General features: G+C 43.3%; 1 protein-coding gene and 3 non-coding genes across 4 annotated transcripts, besides 7 other annotated features; 2 read left to right on the top strand and 2 right to left on the bottom strand.

Annotated features, from left to right (window-relative positions):
- OR6S1 (olfactory receptor family 6 subfamily S member 1) lies at window positions 865-1,860 on the top strand. The gene has a single exon (NM_001001968.1). The coding sequence runs from the start codon at window positions 865-867 to the stop codon at window positions 1,858-1,860; it is 996 nt and encodes a 331-aa protein (NP_001001968.1).
- Window positions 9,252-9,546: a silencer, noted in NCBI's record as "tiled region #11977; K562 Repressive DNase matched - State 4:PromP". NCBI's record gives its function as "represses a minimal TATA promoter and a strong SV40 promoter by Sharpr-MPRA in K562 cells {active_cell/tissue: K562}" and the evidence as "EXISTENCE:reporter gene assay evidence [ECO:0000049][PMID:27701403]".
- Window positions 9,465-9,514: a silencer, noted in NCBI's record as "silent region_5571". NCBI's record gives its function as "represses an Ori minimal core promoter by ATAC-STARR-seq in GM12878 lymphoblastoid cells {active_cell/tissue: GM12878}" and the evidence as "EXISTENCE:reporter gene assay evidence [ECO:0000049][PMID:35858748]".
- On the bottom strand, window positions 9,479-9,550 carry TRP-TGG1-1 (tRNA-Pro (anticodon TGG) 1-1). Its single transcript has one exon. It is a non-coding gene; the product is annotated as a tRNA-Pro (tRNA).
- Window positions 10,335-10,384: an enhancer, noted in NCBI's record as "active region_8083". NCBI's record gives its function as "activates an Ori minimal core promoter by ATAC-STARR-seq in GM12878 lymphoblastoid cells {active_cell/tissue: GM12878}" and the evidence as "EXISTENCE:reporter gene assay evidence [ECO:0000049][PMID:35858748]".
- On the top strand, window positions 11,324-11,396 carry TRT-TGT4-1 (tRNA-Thr (anticodon TGT) 4-1). Its single transcript has one exon. It is a non-coding gene; the product is annotated as a tRNA-Thr (tRNA).
- Window positions 15,906-16,646: an enhancer, noted in NCBI's record as "H3K4me1 hESC enhancer chr14:21094069-21094809 (GRCh37/hg19 assembly coordinates)". NCBI's record gives its function as "activates a minimal SCP1, AML or CMV promoter by ChIP-STARR-seq in naive H9 embryonic stem cells {active_cell/tissue: H9 hESC(naive)}" and the evidence as "EXISTENCE:reporter gene assay evidence [ECO:0000049][PMID:30033119]".
- Window positions 16,647-17,389: an enhancer, noted in NCBI's record as "NANOG-H3K4me1 hESC enhancer chr14:21093326-21094068 (GRCh37/hg19 assembly coordinates)". NCBI's record gives its function as "activates a minimal SCP1, AML or CMV promoter by ChIP-STARR-seq in naive H9 embryonic stem cells {active_cell/tissue: H9 hESC(naive)}" and the evidence as "EXISTENCE:reporter gene assay evidence [ECO:0000049][PMID:30033119]".
- Window positions 17,087-17,156: a silencer, noted in NCBI's record as "silent region_5570". NCBI's record gives its function as "represses an Ori minimal core promoter by ATAC-STARR-seq in GM12878 lymphoblastoid cells {active_cell/tissue: GM12878}" and the evidence as "EXISTENCE:reporter gene assay evidence [ECO:0000049][PMID:35858748]".
- Window positions 17,105-17,186, bottom strand: TRL-TAG2-1 (tRNA-Leu (anticodon TAG) 2-1). Its single transcript has one exon. It is a non-coding gene; the product is annotated as a tRNA-Leu (tRNA).
- Window positions 19,139-19,278: an enhancer, noted in NCBI's record as "active region_8082". NCBI's record gives its function as "activates an Ori minimal core promoter by ATAC-STARR-seq in GM12878 lymphoblastoid cells {active_cell/tissue: GM12878}" and the evidence as "EXISTENCE:reporter gene assay evidence [ECO:0000049][PMID:35858748]".

Genomic DNA, 21,355 nt, shown 5'->3' with positions numbered 1-21,355 from the left:
TCATAATTTTGGCTCTGACAAACATCTGACGGGGTTTCACCATGTTGGCCAGGCTTGTCTCAAACTCCTGGCCTCAAGTGATCCGCCCGCCTCGGTCTCCCAAAAGCTGGGATTACAGGCATGAGCCACTGCGTCCTGCCGGAAAGGGTAATTTTATATAATTTCATTAGGTATACTAATGGCCTAGATTCCTGTGACTCATTGTACAGTTGGACAGTTAAAGTACAAATTGATAATCTTCCAAGAGTAATGGCAAGCCAAGCCTAGATTCTGGTGTCCTAACTTATAGCCAGGGGCTTTCTCTGCCATATAATTTTTAAGTTAAGTACTAGACACTCTTAAATTCTTTGCACTATTATATCATTTGCTCCTTACAGCATTTCACAACTGAGGAGCACAGAGAGGGTAAGTAACCTTACCAAGGCTACTCAGCCAGTAAGTGGAGATGCAGGAATTTAAAACTAGGTAGTCTGACTCAAGTTCTGATCCCAGTTGAATGGTAATCATATTCTTCACAAAATCCTTTTTCAGATATTTTTGCCCAACTCAGATGCTCAGTGATATTGTTATTACAATAATGAGGTGTCATTATTTAAGATCTGAGAACAGGATATGTGAAGATGGAGGAGATGGAGGCTCCTGGCATTTTCATACCTAAGTTTTGTTACCCTTTAGAGAAAATCTTCTCTAGTGCTAAAATCAATCAGATGATGACCTTAAGTGCTTCAGATCTTAACAGGACCTGCAATTGGATAAACTGGGGATATGAGTCCCATATCATGATGAAGTAAGTTTCAGGACTGTAAGCAGAGGACCTGCTCTTACCAGGATCATGTTTTTGTTGTTGGACAGGTGAAAAAGACAATGAGTCCTGATGGGAACCACAGTAGTGATCCAACAGAGTTCGTCCTGGCAGGGCTCCCAAATCTCAACAGCGCAAGAGTGGAATTATTTTCTGTGTTTCTTCTTGTCTATCTCCTGAATCTGACAGGCAATGTGTTGATTGTGGGGGTGGTAAGGGCTGATACTCGACTACAGACCCCTATGTACTTCTTTCTGGGTAACCTGTCCTGCCTAGAGATACTGCTCACTTCTGTCATCATTCCAAAGATGCTGAGCAATTTCCTCTCAAGGCAACACACTATTTCCTTTGCTGCATGTATCACCCAATTCTATTTCTACTTCTTTCTCGGGGCCTCCGAGTTCTTACTGTTGGCTGTCATGTCTGCGGATCGCTACCTGGCCATCTGTCATCCTCTGCGCTACCCCTTGCTCATGAGTGGGGCTGTGTGCTTTCGTGTGGCCTTGGCCTGCTGGGTGGGGGGACTCGTCCCTGTGCTTGGTCCCACAGTGGCTGTGGCCTTGCTTCCTTTCTGTAAGCAGGGTGCTGTGGTACAGCACTTCTTCTGCGACAGTGGCCCACTGCTCCGCCTGGCTTGCACCAACACCAAGAAGCTGGAGGAGACTGACTTTGTCCTGGCCTCCCTCGTCATTGTATCTTCCTTGCTGATCACTGCTGTGTCCTACGGCCTCATTGTGCTGGCAGTCCTGAGCATCCCCTCTGCTTCAGGCCGTCAGAAGGCCTTCTCTACCTGTACCTCCCACTTGATAGTGGTGACCCTCTTCTATGGAAGTGCCATTTTTCTCTATGTGCGGCCATCGCAGAGTGGTTCTGTGGACACTAACTGGGCAGTGACAGTAATAACGACATTTGTGACACCACTGTTGAATCCATTCATCTATGCCTTACGTAATGAGCAAGTCAAGGAAGCTTTGAAGGACATGTTTAGGAAGGTAGTGGCAGGCGTTTTAGGGAATCTTTTACTTGATAAATGTCTCAGTGAGAAAGCAGTAAAGTAAAAGTGAAGAGTCTAGTAACTAGTCTTTTTTTTTTTTTTTTTTTTTTTTTTTTGAGAGAGAGAGAGAGAAAGTCTCACTCTGTCGCCCAGGCTGGAGTGCAGTGGCGCGATCTCAGCTCACTGCAACCTCCACCTCCTGGGTTTAAGCAATTCTCCTGCCTCAGCCTCCTGAGTAGCTGGGATTACATGTGCCCACCACCACACCTGGCTAATTTTTGTATTTTTAGTAGAGATGGGGTTTCACTCGATGACCAGGCTAGTCTCAAACTCCTGGCATCAAGTGATCCACCCACCTCAGCCTCCCGAAGTGCTGGGATTACAGGTGTGAGCCACCACACCTGGTCTTGTTGTCATTTTTAAAAATCATATTTTAAAATCCAAATATTCTCATTATCATGCTCCTTTCCGTCTTCATTATGGATATCACCAAAAGACTGAATTCTGGAACTACTAATGAATTCTCAGGTCATCAATCCACCTTCTTCTCTTTCAGGCAAAATTTCTTGATCCTAGATCATACCTAATAATAATAATACTTATTATTATTATTGATATATCGTGATCAATATCATCGCCACTTCCTAAGACCTTCCAACCTGTGAGTCTTAACCTATGGGTCCATGGTCATGTAGGGAATCTAAGGATGGGTTTCAGAAAATTTATATGCCCAATAGGTATCTAAATTTTATGTGCTTGAATATATATGCATTTGTCTGAGAAGAGGGACTGTAGCTTTAATTCAACATTTGAATCCATTCGTGCACTCTCCTCAAAAGCTAAAAACTGATTGCAAGTCTAAGTAGAGCCTTCCAACTGTTTATGCAAGTCAAGAATTTTAAGAAAAAATTCCTTATAGATATAAAATGAAATAAAAATAGATTATCTGTATATTTTTGTACATGCTTGTTAGAAAAATTTACATTTAATGCTAGAGGAAAAAGAGGTGAAGCAAATTTAATAAAGGGACTTAATTACTTCTCTGTGGTAATTCCAGGTGCTGTTGGGAAAGCAGATCAGTGAGGGATTTCATGAGTAATAGCATTTACTGTATTCTTCTAGTGTGCACTTTAGTACATTGATAAAGACATCTCCACTCGTTTTGTCATTGGATTATGTTTCATTCATTTGTTCATCTTTTTACATTCTTGTATCTGTTGTGTGAAATCTTCTTTTGTTTTTAGTAAAATAAGGAGCTTTAATATTAAAGAGTTAAGAATGCCACATAGGCTGGACACGGTGGCTCACGCCTGTAATCCTAGCCCTTTGGAAGGCCGAGACAGGCTGATCACCTGAGGTCAGGAGTTCCTAGACCAGTCTGGCCAACATGGCGAAACCCCGCCTCTACAAAAACACAAAAATTAGCCGGGCGTGGTGGCGGGCGCCTTTAATCCCAGCTACCAAAAAGGGTAATTTCATATAATTTCATTATATAAGGAGGCATTATATAAGGAGGCAGGAGAATCACTGAACCCAGGGGGCGGAGGTTTGCAGCGAGCCAAGATCGTGCCACTTCACTCCAGCCTGGGCGAAAGAGCAAAACTCCATCTAAAAAAAAAAAAAAAAAGAATGCCAAATGCCAAATATTGTTGTATCTACCAAGAACCAAACTTTGTAGTAAATTTTGTCTAGTTTATTGGACATTTGAAAAGGGATTCCTATTCATGGAAATCCCTTTGGAAATCTTGGAAACAAATATTTATTTATTTATTTATTTATTTATTTATTTATTTATTCATTCATTCATTCAGCAAAGGTCTGTGAAGAATCTTTGTTGAACACTGTGATATATGAATATATACAAAGATGAACAAGAATAAATTGTTTCTAACCTCAAGCAGCTTGAACTTTAGAGTTTAGAACTAAGGGACGGATAATAATTTAAGGAAATGTGGATGAGAAGGAGATTTACAAAAGGACATTGGAGATCTTATAAAAATTGGTTTACTCTTCCCAGTGCATTTTCTTGTTAGAGAAATTTTCACAGAGGTCATCATTCATTAAACAGGATTTGTCACGTTAGAGTGTGTGTACATAGGAACGATGTACAAAACATGTAAATATCAAGGTATCGACAGCATACTAAACTCAAAATAGTGCTGCAAAACTGGCAAAGTGCGTATTAGCGTCAAAAGAGTTAGCCATAAGCTTCAGTGGGCATGGAAAATAGAAATGTTTTTATCTAGTTCTATTCATAATGCATGCAAACACACTAGATAATTTTATTCCAAAATATTTCTGAGTACTAAAGGAATGGAAAGAATGATTCGAAGGTAAAAATAACTCTTCTGGAGTGATCTAGAAGTGTTGCCCAGAGAGGAGATGAAATATCGCCTTAAAAATTACCTAGTTTCATGAAACATAAAAATCTGAAGTCTATTCCAGCCACTGGCCAAGGAAAGGAATTCATGCAACAATTTACAGCATTTCTTGAAGTAATTGCCACATATTATGGCAATAAAGCATGTTAAACCATCCATTTTCAACATGTGTTTCATTGTGAAAAATAACTTTGGGCTCAATTTAATTCAATAAAATTTGTTGAATACTGTGTTCTAGGAAGTAAGTTGGTATGTTAGAGGTACAAATATTGGCCCCTGCCATCAAGGAATTCATAGACTTTTGGGGTAGACATAATACATATGAATATATAAATATATAATTTTTTTTCTGTTTTTGAGATGGAGTCTTACTCTGTTGTCCGGGCTGGAAACCAATGGCGTGATCTCAGCTCACTGCAACCTCTGCCTCCCGGGTTCAAGCGATTCTCCTGCCTCAGCCTCCCGAGTAGCTGGGATTATAGGCACGTGCCACCACACCCAGCTAATTTTGTATTTTTAGCAGAGACGGGGTTTATCCTTGTTGGTCAGGCTGGTCTGGAACTCCCGACCTCAGGTGATCTGCTAGCCTCACCCTCCCCAAAGTGCTGGGATTACAAGCGTGAGCCACCGCGCCTGGCTTCGAATTTCTATAAAGGTACCATGACAAGCGTCTTTATTCATACTATTATATGAAATAAATTTGCCTGAAATTTTGGTATGATGGTATGTGTAGATTGAGTGCGCATGTGAATGTGTGCATGCATATAACAGTGATACAAACTTGTGTGTCCATGAAAGTTTGTGATTAAATAAAAGAATAAATAAAAATCTGTTTATTGATATTTATTTCTAAGCTTTCCTTTCAAAGATCTTACCTTCATTGACATGAAATTTGTATTTTGTTTTTAAACATACAGTTAAGACAGAATATACTTAATTTAGAAGAAGTAGAAAATGCTTCTGTTTGCATCATTTTACATATAAAACTCTGAATAAGGCCAGGTGCAGTGGCTCACGCCTACAATCCCAGCATGCTGGGAAGCCAACAAGGGGGATTGTTTGAGCCTGGGATTTCGAGGCTACAGTCAGCCAAGATCGCATCACTGCACTCCAGCCTGGGCCAAAGGGTGAGACCTGGTCTCAAAAATTAAATAAATAAATGAAGCTCTTAATGACATCATTGATAATGACAATGATGCTAAACTCAGCAAGCATATGTTACTCTTTATACTTACCTCAGCAGAGTTTGGCACAACTGATCTTGTCCTCTTATTTGAAATAGTCAATGTGTTCTTTGTTATTTATTTATTTTATTTCAATTGTTTTGGGGGAACAGGTAGTTTTTGGTTACATGAAGTTCTTTAGCGGTGATTTCTGAGATTTTGGTGCACCCATCACCCGAGCAGTGTATACTGTAGGCAATATGGAGTCTTTTATCTTTTAGTGCCCTCCCACCATTTCCCCAAGTTCCCAAAGTCCATTATTTCCTCCTTATGCCTTTGCATCCTCATAGCTTAGCTCTCACTTGTAAGTGAGAACATACAATATTTGGTTTTCCATTCCTGAGTTATTTCACTTACAATAATGGTCTCCAACTCCATCCAATGCCATTATTTTGTTTCTTTTTATGGCTGAGTAGTATTCCATGGTGTATATGTACCACTTTATTTTTGTTTTTTTGAGCCGGAGTCTCACTCTGACACCCAGGCAGGAGTGCAGTGGCACGTTCTTGGCTCACTGTAACCTCTGCCTCCTGGATTCAAATGATTCTCCTGCCTCAGCCTCGCGAGTAGCTGGGATTACAGGCATGCACCACCATAGCTGGTTAGTAGAGACAGGGTTTCACCATGTTGGCCAGGCTGGTCTCTAACTCCTGGCCTCAAGTGATCCACCCACCTCCATCTCCCAAAGTGCTGGAATTACAGGCGTGAGTCACCATGCCCGGCCAATATAGCACATTTTCTTTATCCACTCATTTGTTGATGGACATTTATGTTGCTTCCATATTTTTGCACTTGCAAATTGTGCTGCTGTAAATAAACATGTGTATGCAAGTGTCTTTTTCATATAATGCCTTCTATTCCTTTGGGTAGATACTCAGTCGTGGGATTGGTGGATTGAATGGTAGTTCTACTTTCAGTTCTTTAAGGAATCTCCATATTGTTTTCCATAGTGGTTGTACTAGTTTACATTCCCACCAGCAGTGTACAAAATGTTCCTTTTTTTACCACATCCACCCCAACATCTATTATTTTTTGATTTTTAAATTATGGCCATTCTTGCAGGAGCAAGGTGGTATCTCACTGTGGTTTTAATTTGCATTTCCCTGATAATTAGTGATGTTGAGTATTTTTTCATGTTTATTGGCCACTTGTATATCTCCTTTTGAGAAATGTCTATTCATGTCCTTTGCCCACTTTTTCATGGGATTATTTACTTTTTTCTTGCTGATTTGTTTTATTTCCTTGTAGATTCTGGATATTTGAATCCTGTGTTGGATGCATAGTTCGTGAATATTTTCTCTCACTCTGTGGGTTGTCTTTTACTCTGCTGATTATTTCTTTTGCTATGCAGAAGCTTTTTAGTTTAATTAGGTCTCATTTATTTTTGTTTTTGCTGCATTTGCTTTTGGGTTCTTGGTAATGAATTATTTGCCTAAGTCAATGTTTAGAAGAGTTTTTCTGATGCTATCTTCTAGAATTTTTATGATTTCAGGTCTTTGATCCATCTTGAGTTGATTTTTGTATAAGATGAGAGATGAGAATCCAATATCATTCCTTTACATATGGCTTGCCAATTATCCCAGCACCATTTGTTGAATAGGGCGTCCTTTCCCCACTTATGTTTTTGTATGCTTTGTCAAAGATTAGTTGACTGTAAGTAGTTGGTTTTTTTTCTGGGTTCTCTATTCTGTTACATTGGTCTACATGTTTTGTTTTGTTTTACTGGTACCACGCTGTTTTGGTAACTGTAGCCTTGCAGTATAGTTTGAAGACAGGTAATGTGATGCCTCCAGATTTGTTCTTTACACTTAACTTTGCTTGGGGGCTATGCAGGCTCTTTTTTTGGATTCATGTGAATTTTAGGATTTTTTTTTCTAGTTCTGTGAAGAATGACGATGGTATTTTTATGGGAATTGTATTGAATCTGTAGATTGCTTTTGGCAGTATGGTCATTTTCACAATGTTGATTCTATCCATCCATGAGCATGGGATGTGTTTTCATTTGTTTTTGTCATCTATGATTTCTTTCAGCAGTGTTTTGTAATTTTCCTTGTAGAGATCTTTCACCTCCTTGGTTAAGTATATTGCTAATTATTTTATTTTTTATTTTTGAAGCTGTTGTAAACAGGATTGAGTTCCTCATTTGATTCTCAGCTTGGTCGTTGTTGCTGTATAGCAGTGCTACTGACTGTGTACGTTGTATTGTATCCTGAAACTTTCCTGAATTCAATTGATGACATCCAGGAGCTTTTTGGATGAGTCTTTAGGGTTTTCTAGGTATTCGATCATATCATCAGCGAACAGTGACAGTTTGACTTCCTCTTTTCCAATTTGGATGCCCTTTATTTTTTTCTCTTGTCTGATTGCTCTGGCTAGAACTTCCAGTACTATGTTGAATAGAAATGGTGAAAGTGGGCATGGCATCCTTGCCTTGTTCCAGGAGGAATGCTTTTAACTTTTCCCTGTTCAGTATGATGTTGGCTGTGGGTTTGTCATAGATGGCTTTTGTTACCTTGAGATATGTCCCTTCTATGCTGATTTTGCTGATGGTTTTGATCATAAAGGGATGCTGGATTTTGTCAAATGCTTTCTTCTGCATCTATTGAGATAATCATATGATTTTTATTTTCAATTCTGTTTATGTGATGTATCACAGACACTATATCCAACTTCCTGTTGGGCCTATCCACTGGTAGTCGTTCAGCAAAGACAAAGTACCAGGCTAGACATCTCACCTTTCCCACCCGCCAACCAACCTGGAAGTCAGAGCATGTTGACAGATTCTTCCTTCTCTCCTCCCTTCCTGTAATCATCACAAAACCCTTTATTTTCCTCTGGACACATAACTCTTCGAGGGGAAACCTCAGAAAGGACAAATATAACTGGGCTAGATGAAATCCTGTTAAAGATTCCTTTCTTTTTCGAGACGGAGTTTTGCTCTTGTTGCCCAGGCTGGAGCGCAATAGCGCAGTCTTGGCTCACTGCAATCTCTGCCTCCTGGTTTCAAACAATTCTCCTGCCTCAGCCTCCCGAGTAACTGGGATTACAGGCGTGCGCCACCACGTTTGGCTATTTTGTATTTTTAGTAGAGATGGGGTTTCACCAAGTTGGTCAGGCTGGTCTCGAACTCCTGACCTCAGGTGATCCACCCACCTGGGCCTCCCCAAAGTGCTGGGATTACAGGCATGAGCCACCGCGCCTGGCCTAAAGAATCCTTTCTAAACAAGCAGTTTAGAAAGACAAGCAACTTTGAAGCGCCGGTCATCCCAGCAGTTCATATCGAGGACAGCTTCTTCACTCCAGAATCGAACAACACTCAAGGATTATAGGTAGACACCCAACAGTAGAACGTGTTGATTTTTCAGGTGAGCCATCAAAGAGCTAATGGGTCTGGTGGATTCTTGTCAGAAGTGAAAAAAACAACTATTCCTATGTTATACTATGTTTTCGAAAATAACACCTGGAAATAATCGAATTGCGCTTCCTTGAACAAAATGAATGTCTGTGTCCTGTAAACCCTCAAGTTCCCAGGGCTGCGACTTCGCATTCGAACGATGCAACAGCGCTTGCAACTGTCGGAAAGGCAGTCTCACTACAACAACCAAGAGTGCAACACTGCGCTGCGGAGCAGGCGCCAAGGCCAGGGCAGGGGCTAGACTCCATCCCGCGGCTGGATCACCGCGCGGTCAGGGTCTCAGAAAGCGGGTTCTATTGGGACATTGTGACCCTAACACGCCTTCAGGTAGCAATCTTTTCCATACGAAGTGACCTAGTGAAAAGTGCACTAGTTTGTTCCACACAAAATACTGGGTAAGAACTGCCCGAACACTCTGCTCCTGACAAAAGATCCTGTCAGAGCCCGTCAGGGAACCCCGATCTGTGATGAAGACCTTGGCCCTTCGCAGCGTCTTCGTTGTCTTTGATTCTTTCAGCGAAAGTAGCCGCAATTTGCTCAACAATCTCATCCCCCATAGGTCGAGGTTGAAGAGGGCTAGGTGACCTAGCCGTAGCGCCGATTGCAGTATTTGTTAACTACTGACTTTAAAGAGAGAAAGATGAAACGGAAAGGAAAGTAAAGGGGCTCGTCCGGGATTTGAACCCGGGACCTCTCGCACCCAAAGCGAGAATCATACCACTAGACCAACGAGCCAGAACTGGAGAGATTCTATTCTTTAAGAGTGTTCATTTATTTTTTTAGTTGTAGCACAACACTTGAACAGTTTTGATTCCTTTAGAATCTAGTGATTTTCTCCAGACTCCAGGAAAGTCAACGTGCGGGTTCAGAAGGATCCGAGACGCAGCGTTCCGAAGGTAGAAACGTTCATTTCGGGATCCGGGCCGAGCTGTGTCGGTCAATGCACAGGAAGGGTCTGTATACTCAAAGGGACTAGAACCATCTCAGGCGGCCTGTGGTTGGAAGACCCACGAAAAACACGAACGACCGATTTCACTCACCGAAAGATAAAGGTCACCGCGGGACTGGCAGGGGAAAAGGTCGAACCAACATTACCAAGATGTTGAGCTCTAAAAGCCACTACCTCAGACCTCTCGCCTACAGCACCCAGCACTCCACGTGGGTGCTTTGGCCATTCCCTTTCAGCTTTAGTTGATTACCTATGTATTATAGGTTTAGATTTAAGGCGTCTTTCAAGGGCGCCCAGGAGGTGCCGTCGGGGAAAAGTTGCTGTCTGCCCACACTCTCTTCTGTAGAAGCCCACTCCTCTACCACTCAAAAGGTGGTGGGTGGGTGGTGGGGGGGACGGTTGTCCTTACTCTGTAGCCTCTTCTGCTTGGGAACCGAAGCTCCCGGGCTCTTGCTCTAACCTCTCCAGGGCGCATCAGTGTCTGCCTTGATCACATTGCTTGCCCTGCGCCAAGCTGGCTCCCGGCCAGTGGGAGCTGTCCAGTGAATGACTGAGCCTCCTGGTCAGGCTGACACCAAAGGAGAGAAAAGAAGAGAAACTCTTCCGCCCCAACCTTCCCATGCGACGACGCCACTTTTATTCTTTCTGGACTTCAAGTTGGCGCTTAGAAAAGCCTGGAGGCCCAAAGAGAAGGAGCTGCCTTCCGACTCCGAGATGCTAGGAAGAGGAGTGTTAAAGGACCAAGAAAAGGGCTGGACCCCTTCTAGCCACCTCTGCTTCAGGTAACTTAGAGGAATCTGTGACCAAGCCGGACTCCGCTGAAAGGCTGGGGGAGATCTGGAAGCCTTGGCGCCCTCACTGCGTCCACCCCCAAACTCTGAAGGTCCGAGGGGTACGTCCTGTGCTTGAAGACAGCCGCCTCCCTTTTAAAAACAACCCCAATCTCAGACTAAGAGAGTTGGACTAAGAATCCAAGCGGGTTGGGGGGAACCTCTCTGATCACTACTGCATTCTCTTCTGTAATGAAACGCACCCTGACCCTGATGTTGCTCGGCACTTGGGACTTGTCAAGCCTGAAGCTGGGGAGCATGTATCGTGGAGCATGCGTTTTTAAGATAACAATATATATTAAATGTCTTTTATGGTTTGTTTGTTCGTTTTTGATGAGCAAGCAAGCTGAAAACTCATCTCTTTTAAAGAACGTAAGTCATTTGTCTATCGAAACACATACTTTTAATTTTTGTAATAAAAACAGAGCCACTTTCAAAAGACAATAATTCAACTGTCTCCAAAGAAGCAAATAATCCAGAACTTAAAAGTTGGAATAAATAATCATCACTTTTTATTAAATAATTTTGTTATTCCCCATTTTACCCTTACAGTGACTTGCATTCCAGTCCGAGCCTGGTCAAGAAAATGTTTCTTTCTTATACGTAAGAGGCACGTCCTTCAAAAATTCCTTTTAATTTATTTCTTAAACTTTATTTAGACTTAAACACTATTTACCTAGGATTTTAGCTGCATAATAGATTGATTGTTAAATGTTTGCTCTCTGTGGCGGCTCCATAGCTCAGGGGTTAGAGCACTGGTCTTGTAAACCAGGGGTCGCGAGTTCAAATCTCGCTGGGGCCTCGGCTGTAGGAATACTTTTCCCAAGCAAAAGAGCAGGAGCTTTTTAGCCTTTTCAACGCTGAAACAAACTAGTGAAGAAAGGAAGCATTTTATGATCTTTCCATGAAAGCCAGATCCTGGATTTGAGACGAAAAAGTACAGCGTCGGGATCCTATGAACGATACTGGGAAAATAGGTGTTTGTACGCTGCAGTAAGCGAGGAAGAAACTAGACTGTTCACGTCTCTGGGAGAAAAATGTTACACTTGGTCCATACCTCTGTGTTTGTGGGGAACAGATCTAATCTAATCTGCTGATAGCCATGACTCCCGGAGTCCTGCGCACTTCTCCACTTGTAGCCTGCCTGGTGGTCCCTTCCTGCGCTCCTGGGGCGAAAACTGGCTCGCAGATTACTCTGAGGGCAGCCTAGTTCAGAAGCTATGCAGATTCACCCCAAGCCGGTGGCTTCTGCTCTGTTTCCATTCTCACTACCTCCGACTCAGATCTCACTTCCTACTGCCTCAAGGCTGCTCCCGGGACTCAGTTAACTATAGACCTGGCTCTCTGGAACTTCTTGAACAGTAATCTGAGCCCAAATGCAAAGAAGTCAGGAGTCTCACCAGCCGCTACTCAATGCACAAAAATCTACGCTAACGAATGTCACAGACACTTTCCGATAGCTCACCTGGTAGAGCGGAGGACTCTAAGAATTTCCAACTACGGCCATCCTTAAGGTGGCCGGTTCGATTCTCTCTGTGTTTTCATGCTTCAGTCTACTCAGCCAACGAAAGGTTTTATTAATGTATCCTCCTAATCCAAAGACTGTGAAGCAGTAATTTGAATTATATTTTCAGGCAACAAAAGAACATTTAATGCGTCCTCTGTGATTCTGCAGCAGGTGTGATTCTGCAGTAGATGTGATTCTGTTTACTCACAAGGTGTTAATTAAAGACGTTCTTTTTAGATTTGAATCCATCTCCTAATCTGTAAGACTAGTTAACGTTGAGTGGATAATGGATAACATCCCTCAACTTCACCCCCAAACCCTACACTTTTTCATTTCCGTGAATAATTCATACTGGACAATTCAGGGTTCAAGGAGAAATACTTTAGAAAGGCCTGCCCCTCAAAAGGATCTAAACAAACGATACCGAGAATAAGCAAAAGGTCAAGTATGCATATGGAAAATGTTCCTTCCTTAATAAGAAATCAAATTGGAAACTATTTATTAATATCTAATACTGATAAGAACATTCTTGTAGAATGTCATGGCTTTCTGGAGGACAGTTGGGCATTATAAATCAAGAACTCTAAAAAGACATTGTATTTTATCAAGCATTCTATTTCTACTTTTAGAAATTTATTATTCGAAAATGAAAAAGGATATATGCCAAAATCTGTTTATCTGTGGGTGATTGATATTCTTTATACTTTTATGTATTTTTCAAAATGTGCCACTTGTATACATTACATAAAAAAACAGTTTTTTACTTTATAAAATAAAGTTTAAAAATACCCAGTGCCATTATGGTAGACAATTTTTGCGGTTTCTTACAAAACCAAATACATGTTTCTCATACAATAAGCAATCACACTCATAGGTACTTACCCAAATGAGTTGAACATATGTCCACACAGTACCCTTCACGTTAATGTTTATAGCAGCTTTATGTATAATTGCCAAAACTTGGAAGCAACAAATATATCCTTTAACAGGGGAATAGACAAACTGTGCTATATCCAGACAATGGAATATTAATCAGCCCTTAGAAGATATGTTATCAAGACATAAAAAGACATGGAATTAAATTTAAAGGCATATTACTAAGTAAAAGAAGCCAATCTGAAATGCCCATATACTGTATGATTTCAACTATATGACATTCTGGAAAAGGCAAAACAATGTAGACAGTAAAAGCATCAGCGGTTTCCAGGAGTTAGGTGAGAGGGATGAACATGTGGACCACAGAAGACTTTTAGGGCAGTGAAACTACTTTGTATGGTGTTACAATAGTGTATATATGTCATGATTATGATGCATTTGTTCAAACTCATAGAATGTACAGTACCAAGAGTGAATCTTGATTTAAACTACAGACTTTGTTTAATAATGGTGTATCAATGTTAGTTGTAACAAATGTACCATACTGGTGCAGGATGTCCTTGATGAGGGAGGCTGTGGGGACAGAGAGCAGAATGTAGGAACTCTCTGTACTTTCCACCCAATTTTGCTGTAAACTTAAAACTGCTCTTGGATGTAAAATCTATTAACTTTTTAAAAAACTTGGTGACTTAAGTAATTCACAGTTTAGTTGAAGTAACAGAATAGATAATGCTGTGTTGATATATTGATACTGCCATAAACGTTTACAAAACGATATAGGACCACATTTAAGACAATGAAAAGGAGTGATCAGAATGGTGAGGAGAAACTAACTGAAGAGAGCTTCCTGAAGTTGAATTTTGAGCTAGAATTTGACAGAAATATTGACGCATGCTTAAGTGAGTTAAGGGAGCTTTCCGATATGTGTGTGTGGAGACAGATGTGTTGGGGGAAATGCCAGTCAGAGTGCCGGAGAGGAGTAGGGGTAGGTGATGTGGCAGGGGTGGTAGAGTAGAGCTGGAGGAGCGGCTGGTACTGTCAAGAGGAACAAGAGGAGGGGACAGAAGGAAGGATAGAGGTTCAGGATCATTTTGGTGGTGCAGAAGTGATGCAGGCAGAAAAAAGGCAGGGATGGTGAGTGGCATGAGTGAGGGGAGATAGAAACAAGTCGGCATCCTTCCATCAACAGGAGAGGGAATTAACTGAAAACTAAGGGACAGTGAAAAGAGCAAAACAATATAAACAAAAACGTTCCGAGGTGGTGCTGTTGAGAGTCTGGGGAATGCTAGTGTCCTTGGTGGATGTAGAGAATGCTGGAATGTGGAAAATCCTGGCCTGACTGGGGAGGAGGAGTGGGAGAAAGAATGGAGGAAGTTTCAGTTCATTTTGTTTCAATGGAAATGATGGCCTCTATGCAGCTGAAAACATCGAGCTAGGTAGATCAGGTTTCTGGGAGTCACTAGAGGGAGATGAACAGAAAAACAAAAATTAACCCAGTCTCAAGATAATGCACAGAATTACGTTTCAGGAAGAAGGGAAAACAAACCGTCAGCCTGAAATAATCAAAAGGGTAAGACTAATTTAAAGAGAGTTTACTCAAGCCAAAACTGTGAGGATGAGCCACATGGAAAAACCAGCTCCAAAGGAATAGGGTCAGCATTCCGAAGTAGGAAAGTTGAGGTTTCATTTGTATAGGCAGAGACAGAGGAGTTTTTAGCAGGATTACAACATTATTCATTATTCATACACAGTTCATACAAGGTTGGCACATAGTTACAGCCATTTGATTGGTTACAGGCAGTGTTTCTTTTTGGCAAGGGTGCATTTAACATTTTTTGCAGAGGGCATAATAATCATGGGTTTTCTGTTATCTGGTCTAAGCAAACAAAGCAGGACAAGACAAGGGAAATTCATCTGTAACGAGGGTCATTAATTAAGAAGACTGTAGGTTTTTGTTCTTGATGTCGTTTAATTCTCTCTGGTACACACAGAACAAGAAAAATAAGAAAGTACATTAATCTATGATCTGAGAACAGAAGTTGTAACCATATGTGACTCAGACGGCATTCACATCTCTCTGAAGGCTTAGAGCATTGTGGCGGTGGGTGGGTGGGGGGGTTCCAACAACTTTTAAATTTGATTTATTTTCATAAAACAGAATTGGAAGACAGAACAATTGCCTTGTGGAAAAAGGAAGAACAATGATATGGAAATTATGCAAACAGGGAATTTTATAAAAGTGCCAGGAAGGTCCAATTTATCCACAGATATAGAGATATTTTCCCCCAACTAGGCACTGGGAGCAAAACATGCCTTGTCTCTCGATTTCCGAGAGAAACAAAACAAAAGGCTTCTTTTGTGAAGATCTTGCGGGCCCAAGATATTTCTTGGTGATAGGTATGTGAAAAGGAAGGGGACTGGTCTGGAGGAGTCATCAAAGTGAAATGGAAGATGTTATGGGAGTGCCCGAAAGAGGATTTTGAATGAGGAGGGAGGAAGATATAAAAAGGAGGGCAGAGTCAAAAAGTGGCATGAGGCTGGGTGCCCAGGAGTTCCAGATCACCCTGGGCGACATAGACAGACCATTATCAGCTCCCCCGCCCCTCCCCACTCCCTCCCAACCCTTCGGCTCTACCAAAACAAACAAACAAACAAACAAACAAGCAAACAGCCGGGCGTGGGCGTGATAGTGCAGAAGTGTGATCCCAGCTCCTTGGGAGACAGGCGGGAGGATCGCTTGAGCCCGGGAGATGGAGGCTGCAATGAGTAGTGATCGCACCACTGCACTCCAGCCTGGGTGGCATGACACTTGGTTCTTGCACAGAGTCGCAGTTCTCTGCTCAGTTTCTTTCTTTCATTCCTCATGTCACGGCAGTGAAATCTCTCCCCGAGGAAACTGTCCGGCCAAATCCATGAGCACTTCTGTAGGTGACGGGCTGTAGTGGCTGAAAAACGCAGTAGGACAACCATTCTGAGACGATACCACTAAATAGGCCCTGAGTGTACCCCCTCTGATTTTCCACAGTGGGTTAGTTTCTACGCGAATATTGTAGCTGGGTAGTTCAGAAACCTGAACAGTCGCCACCACCGTGACCTGATTCACTGGGAAGGGGCAGGAGGGTGACTAAACCCACGTTTACAGACGCCCCCTGGGCCCAATGAATGGAGTTAGTCAAGAATCCGCTTTGAAGTGTTTTTGAATCACCAACTCAAAATAACTGTTTACTTGTCTTCTCCCCATTCCCCATGAGGTAACGATGCCTGAATGAGAACATGAACCTTGCTGAGTTTATTTTTTAGACGGAGTCTTACTCTGTCGCCAGGACTAGGGTGCAGTGGCGCGATCTTGGCTCACTGCAACCTCCGCCTCCCGGGTTCAAGCGATTCCCCTGCCTCAGCCTCCCGAGTAGCTGGGAGTACAGGTCCGTCCGCGCCACCACCCCCGGCTTTGGTATTTTTTTTTTTTACTAAGGACGGGGTTTCACCATGTTGGTCAGAATGGTCTCGATCTCCTGACCTCTTGATCCGCCCGCCTCGGCCTCCCAAAGTGCTGGGATTACAGGCGTGAGCCACTGCGCCCGGCCGCTGAGTTTTTGCTTTCTGCATCCATCCGTCCGTCCATCTGTCCATGCATCCATCCATCATGTTCAATTACAAAAGTAACGTGATTAGAACCAAAACAGGGTCTAGGCAGGATATTTCGCGAGCACAGAGCTGCAACTCCTAAAGCAGTGCCGGCCGCGGGCTGATGGGACCAATGGGAAAGTTTCTGCAAAAACTTCCTGACCACCTTATGCTTAAACTAGGTAATGACAATGATTCAATGTGAGCGTGTATTTTAGATGAGAACTGAGCTTTCCTGATTGCGGGAACCCAAATGGTGCAGTGCAAAAACTGGGGTCCAGAGAGTCAGTACAACGGATAAAGTAGGAGACCGCGAGCGAGAAGGCCTCCCTGCCTAACCGAAAGAAATGCCAATTGGAAATCAGGATTTTAATTACGAATGCAGAATTCAGAGGAACTGATGCTGTGTAATCCGGGAGAATCCTGGGAAAGGAAGATTTAATTATTTTACTAGTTAGAAAGTGTTAGTACTTCAGGATCCTTGTTGTGCTAAAACGTACCACTGGCAGTGGTGGGATTCGAACCCACGCCCCCGAAGAGACTGGAGCCTAAATCCAGCGCCTTAGACCGCTCGGCCACACTACCACACACGTTATAGGAGTTTGCAATTACCTTCTTCATTCTGTCAGCATTTTGCCCCAGCGTACAAGTGCAAAATTCTGAATTTTCTTCGCGGAAGCAGGGTTCCGGATAGCATTTTCATTCATCCTTAGGGATCTAAGCAAACTCAAGGAGAGGAGGAATTACTGAATTCTCACTCGCCCTGGGAAGTGGGCTAGCAGGTAATGGAAGATTATTAGCGTCAATGTCTTTGGAAGACCTTTATCTTTTCTTTAACCTAGGCAATAAAACACGGAGACTTTAAAAATCCTACTGGTGATTTGAAAGTTATTCGAGAAGACTGAAGAATAAGAACTCCTTGCTGTTGGATCGTGGTTCTGTGGGTACAAATATTGCTTAGAGTGCCATGGGGTCGAAGTTCACGTCACTTATTAGGCGCCCTTTCGTTCACAGACCTGTAAGCCTGTCACCGCGTTCAAAGGAAACTCGATGGCCGCTCCCTCCTGCAGTTTGAGCAAGGAGAGGTTGGGTTGGGCAATTGCCGGGTTTCTTGTTGAGGAAGAAGGCCGCTCTGCACGCTCGGGTAGACCGACGCCTACGCCCATGGCAGTAGCACGGCTCCCCAGAGGGAGGTCACATTCCAAGGGCATCCCCAGCGCAGAAAGGGTGGTCCCGGGCTTCCCTGGAGCCCTGGTGCTGCTCATTCTTTTTCTTTTCTTTTCTTTTTTTCTTTTCTTTTCTTTTCTTTCTTTCCTTTCTCTCTCTCTCTCTTTTCTTTCTTTCTCTCCTTCCTTCCCTCTTTCCTCTCTCTCTCTCTCTGTCTCTCTCCCTCCCTTTCGGCAGTATGGCTATTTTCATGATGTTGATTCTTCCTATCCATGAACATGGACTGTTTTCCGTTTGTTTGTGTCCTTTCTGATTTCCTTGAACAGTGGTTTGTAGTTCTCTTTGAAGTGGTCCTTCACTTCCCTTGTTAGCTGTATTGCTAGGTATTTTATTCCCTTTGAAGCAATTGTGAATGGGAGTTCATTCCTAATTTGGCTCTCTACTTGCCTGCTGTTTTTTGTTTGTTTGTTTGTTTTGTTTTGTTTTTTGACGGCGTCTCTGTCGCCCAGGCTGGATAGGCAACACCCATGGCAGTGGTGCCATCTCGACTCACTGCAACCTCCGCCTCCAGGGTTCAAGCGATTCTCCTGCCTCAGCCTCCTGAATAGCTGGGAATACAGGCGTCCACCACCACGCCCGCCCGGCTAATTTTTTGTATTTTTAATAGATATGGGTTTTCACCATGTTGGCCAGGCTGGTCTCGAACTGCTGATCTCAGGTGATCCACCCGCCTCAGCCCCACAAAGTGCTGGGATTACAGGCGTGAGCCGCCCCACCCGGCAGCTTGTCAGCTTTCTTAAGCTTTTGGGCTGAGATGAGGCGGTTTTCTCGATACAGGATCATGTCATCTGCAAACAGGAAGAGTTTGACTTCCTCTCTTCCTATTTGAATGCCCTGTATTTCTTTCTCTTGCTTTATTGCCCTGGTCAGAACTTCCAATACTATGTTAATACGTGTGGTGAGAGAGGGCATCCGTGTTTCGTGCCGGTTTTCAAGGGGAATGCTTCCAGCTTTTGCCCATTCAGTATGATGTTGGTTGTGGGTTTGTCACACATGGCTTTTATTATTTTGAGGTATGTTCCTTTAAAACTTAGATTATTGAGGGTTTTTAACATGAAGGGATGTTGAATTTTACAGAAAGCCTTTTCTGCATCTATTTCATGTGTTGTAACATTTCTTTCTAAAGGAGCAGAGGGAAAGCTAGAAAACGGTTTCAGAGGTGATACTTGGGGTCTCCCGCACCCAAAGTGGGAATCACTGACCTGCGAACAACCCCACTCGGCGCAAAGCCCTGGATTATGTATTATTTATATTCTTTGCTGCTGTTCCCACTTGGCTGTTTTCTTGGTCTGTGGATCCAGAAATTCTCCTGGGAGCCTAATTAAAGTTGCCTAATTTTAAGTGCTCTCTCTGTCCCCCATCTCAATCACTCAAAAAAACCACAACCCTTTCTCGCCTCTCCTGGCTCTAGGCCTCTGAGGTCTCTCCCCAAGCCCTGGTGGCCCAGCGGGTCAGGTTGAGGGCGAATAGAGAGGAAAAAAGCGTTCTTCCCTGGGTCTCCGCGGGGGCGAAGGTCCTGCGAGTTCACGGTCACCGCTGCCAGGAGTTGGGGGAGGCGAGCAGAAAGGAAGTTCTTAAAAAGCAGCTTTAAAATAGGGCTCAGGGAGCACCGCATAAACGTAGAACCCAGGCAGGGAAGCGGGGGCGGCATAGGAAAGGGCAGGGACGTTCGGAGGTCGGAGGCAGGCTCTCCTCCCGCGCCCCCCCGCAACTCTAGTCCGGGCTCCCCGCGGTGCCTCCCAAACTCACCCCGTGTTACATCCCCCTCTTCACGCCTCGTCACCCTCTGGCGCCAGCACCCTCCTCACCAACCTCCAGCTCACCGGCAATCTAAGCTCACTGGGTACCCACCGTTGGCCCTGACCAGGTCTCTTTCTCCCTAGAAGGAGGAAGTCAGCACCCAAGGCCAGCAGGCAGCATCTCGTAGGTTTTGAATCCAGCAGGATGGTCAAAGATATGGCCTCCTACGCATCACTTAAGACGGAGAGATTAAAATACCCGTCGCCAGCCCCTTTGGCTGAATGTATGACTACTAAGAAATTTCACGTTGTGTTTTCAAGCTTTGGAGGAAGCCTTAGGGGAAAAGGAGTGTGAGCTTACTGCCTCCATCAGTACACGCAAGTCTTTGCCAGGGTCAGAAGTGGAAAGACTAATGTTCTTCTTAAGCTGGAGAGAATCCTAGGAATCCTGTGCCACCATCTCAGTGTGCAGGCCGGGGAAGCATCAGCTTGAAAGAAAAAAAGAAAGATCCTGGGGCTCTTTACGACTTGAAAGAGCTGTGCAGGGTGAATGGGAGGGGAGATAACAAATATTTAAAATATCTGTTGAGCTATTATACCTAGAATTGAGCCAATAAGAGACTTAGGGCACATGAATGGGTCTCATATTGAAACTTTTGATGAGCTCTCCAGATGAGATTTTACAGTCACATTTATGTCTCTGTGTTTCAGTGCTAGTCTGATAAACATACCTGCTATGGTTTGAATATGGTTAATTTGTCCCCACTAGAACTCATGTCGAAATTTGATTTCCAATGTGTCAGTGTTGGGAGATGGGGCCTAGTGGGAGGTGTTTGGATCACAGTAGTAAATTCCTTATGAATGTCTTGGTGCCCTTCTCTCTGTAGTGTGTGAGTTCTGGCTCTGGTGAGATTGGATTACTTCCTTTGGGAATGGATTAGTTCCCTGGGAGAGTGGGTTGTTATACAGCCAAGAGGCCCTCACTTTTTTTTTTCTTTTTTTCTCTTTGTATGTGTCTGCTTCCCCTTTGACCTTCTCTGCCTTGTTTTGACCTAGTGTAGTGGCCCTCCCCAGAAGCCTGGCTGATGCTGGTAACATGCTTCTCCTACTTCCCAGGCTGCAGAACTGTGAGCTAAATAAACCTCTTTCTTTCTAAATTACTCAGCCTCATGTATTCTATTACAGCAACACAAAACGAACGAAGACAATACTCATTTGGCCAGGTGTGGTGGCTCACGCCTGTAATCTCGGCATTTTGGGAGACTGAAGCAGGCACATTGCTTGAGGTCAGGAATTCGAGACCAGCCTGGACAACATGTCAAAACCCCGTCTCTACTAAAAATACAAAAATTAGCCGGGCATGGTGGCATGTGCCTGTAATCCCAGCTACTCAGGAGGCTGAGGCAGGAGAATCGCTTGAACCCAGGAGATGGAGGTTGCAGTGAGCCGAGATCGCACCACTGCACTCCAGCCTGGGCAACAGAGATTCCATTTAAAAACAAAAACAAAAACAAATAAACAAAAAAAATCATAATACTCATTTAAATAACCCATAGTTTCTCTATGTGTTGACTTTTTTTTTTTAAATATGAAGATTCTCAAGTGATGGAAGTGGCCTGAGCTCATTTTGATCTGTTTTAGTGCCAGATCAGGCAATAAAAGGAAGCAGTCAACAGGAAAGAACCTATCATCACAGCAGAGCCCTCTTTGATCCTGGAATGCTGCAGGTTCAAATTCCTCAAACTGACAGGCGTCAGAGCACTTTCTTATCAAGAAAGTACCACACTC

The sequence above is a fragment of the Homo sapiens genome, chromosome 14 (assembly GCF_000001405.40).
Source record: "Homo sapiens chromosome 14, GRCh38.p14 Primary Assembly".
Classification (NCBI taxonomy): Eukaryota; Metazoa; Chordata; class Mammalia; order Primates; family Hominidae; genus Homo; species Homo sapiens.
Note: the sequence above shows the minus strand (reverse complement) of the source record. Positions and strands in the feature narration are given on the sequence as shown.

What these genes read in the sequence shown, in the direction of transcription:
- OR6S1 (NM_001001968.1), top strand. Translation starts at nt 865, where the DNA reads ATGAGTCCTGATGGGAACCACAGTAGTGATCCAACAGAGTTCGTCCTG.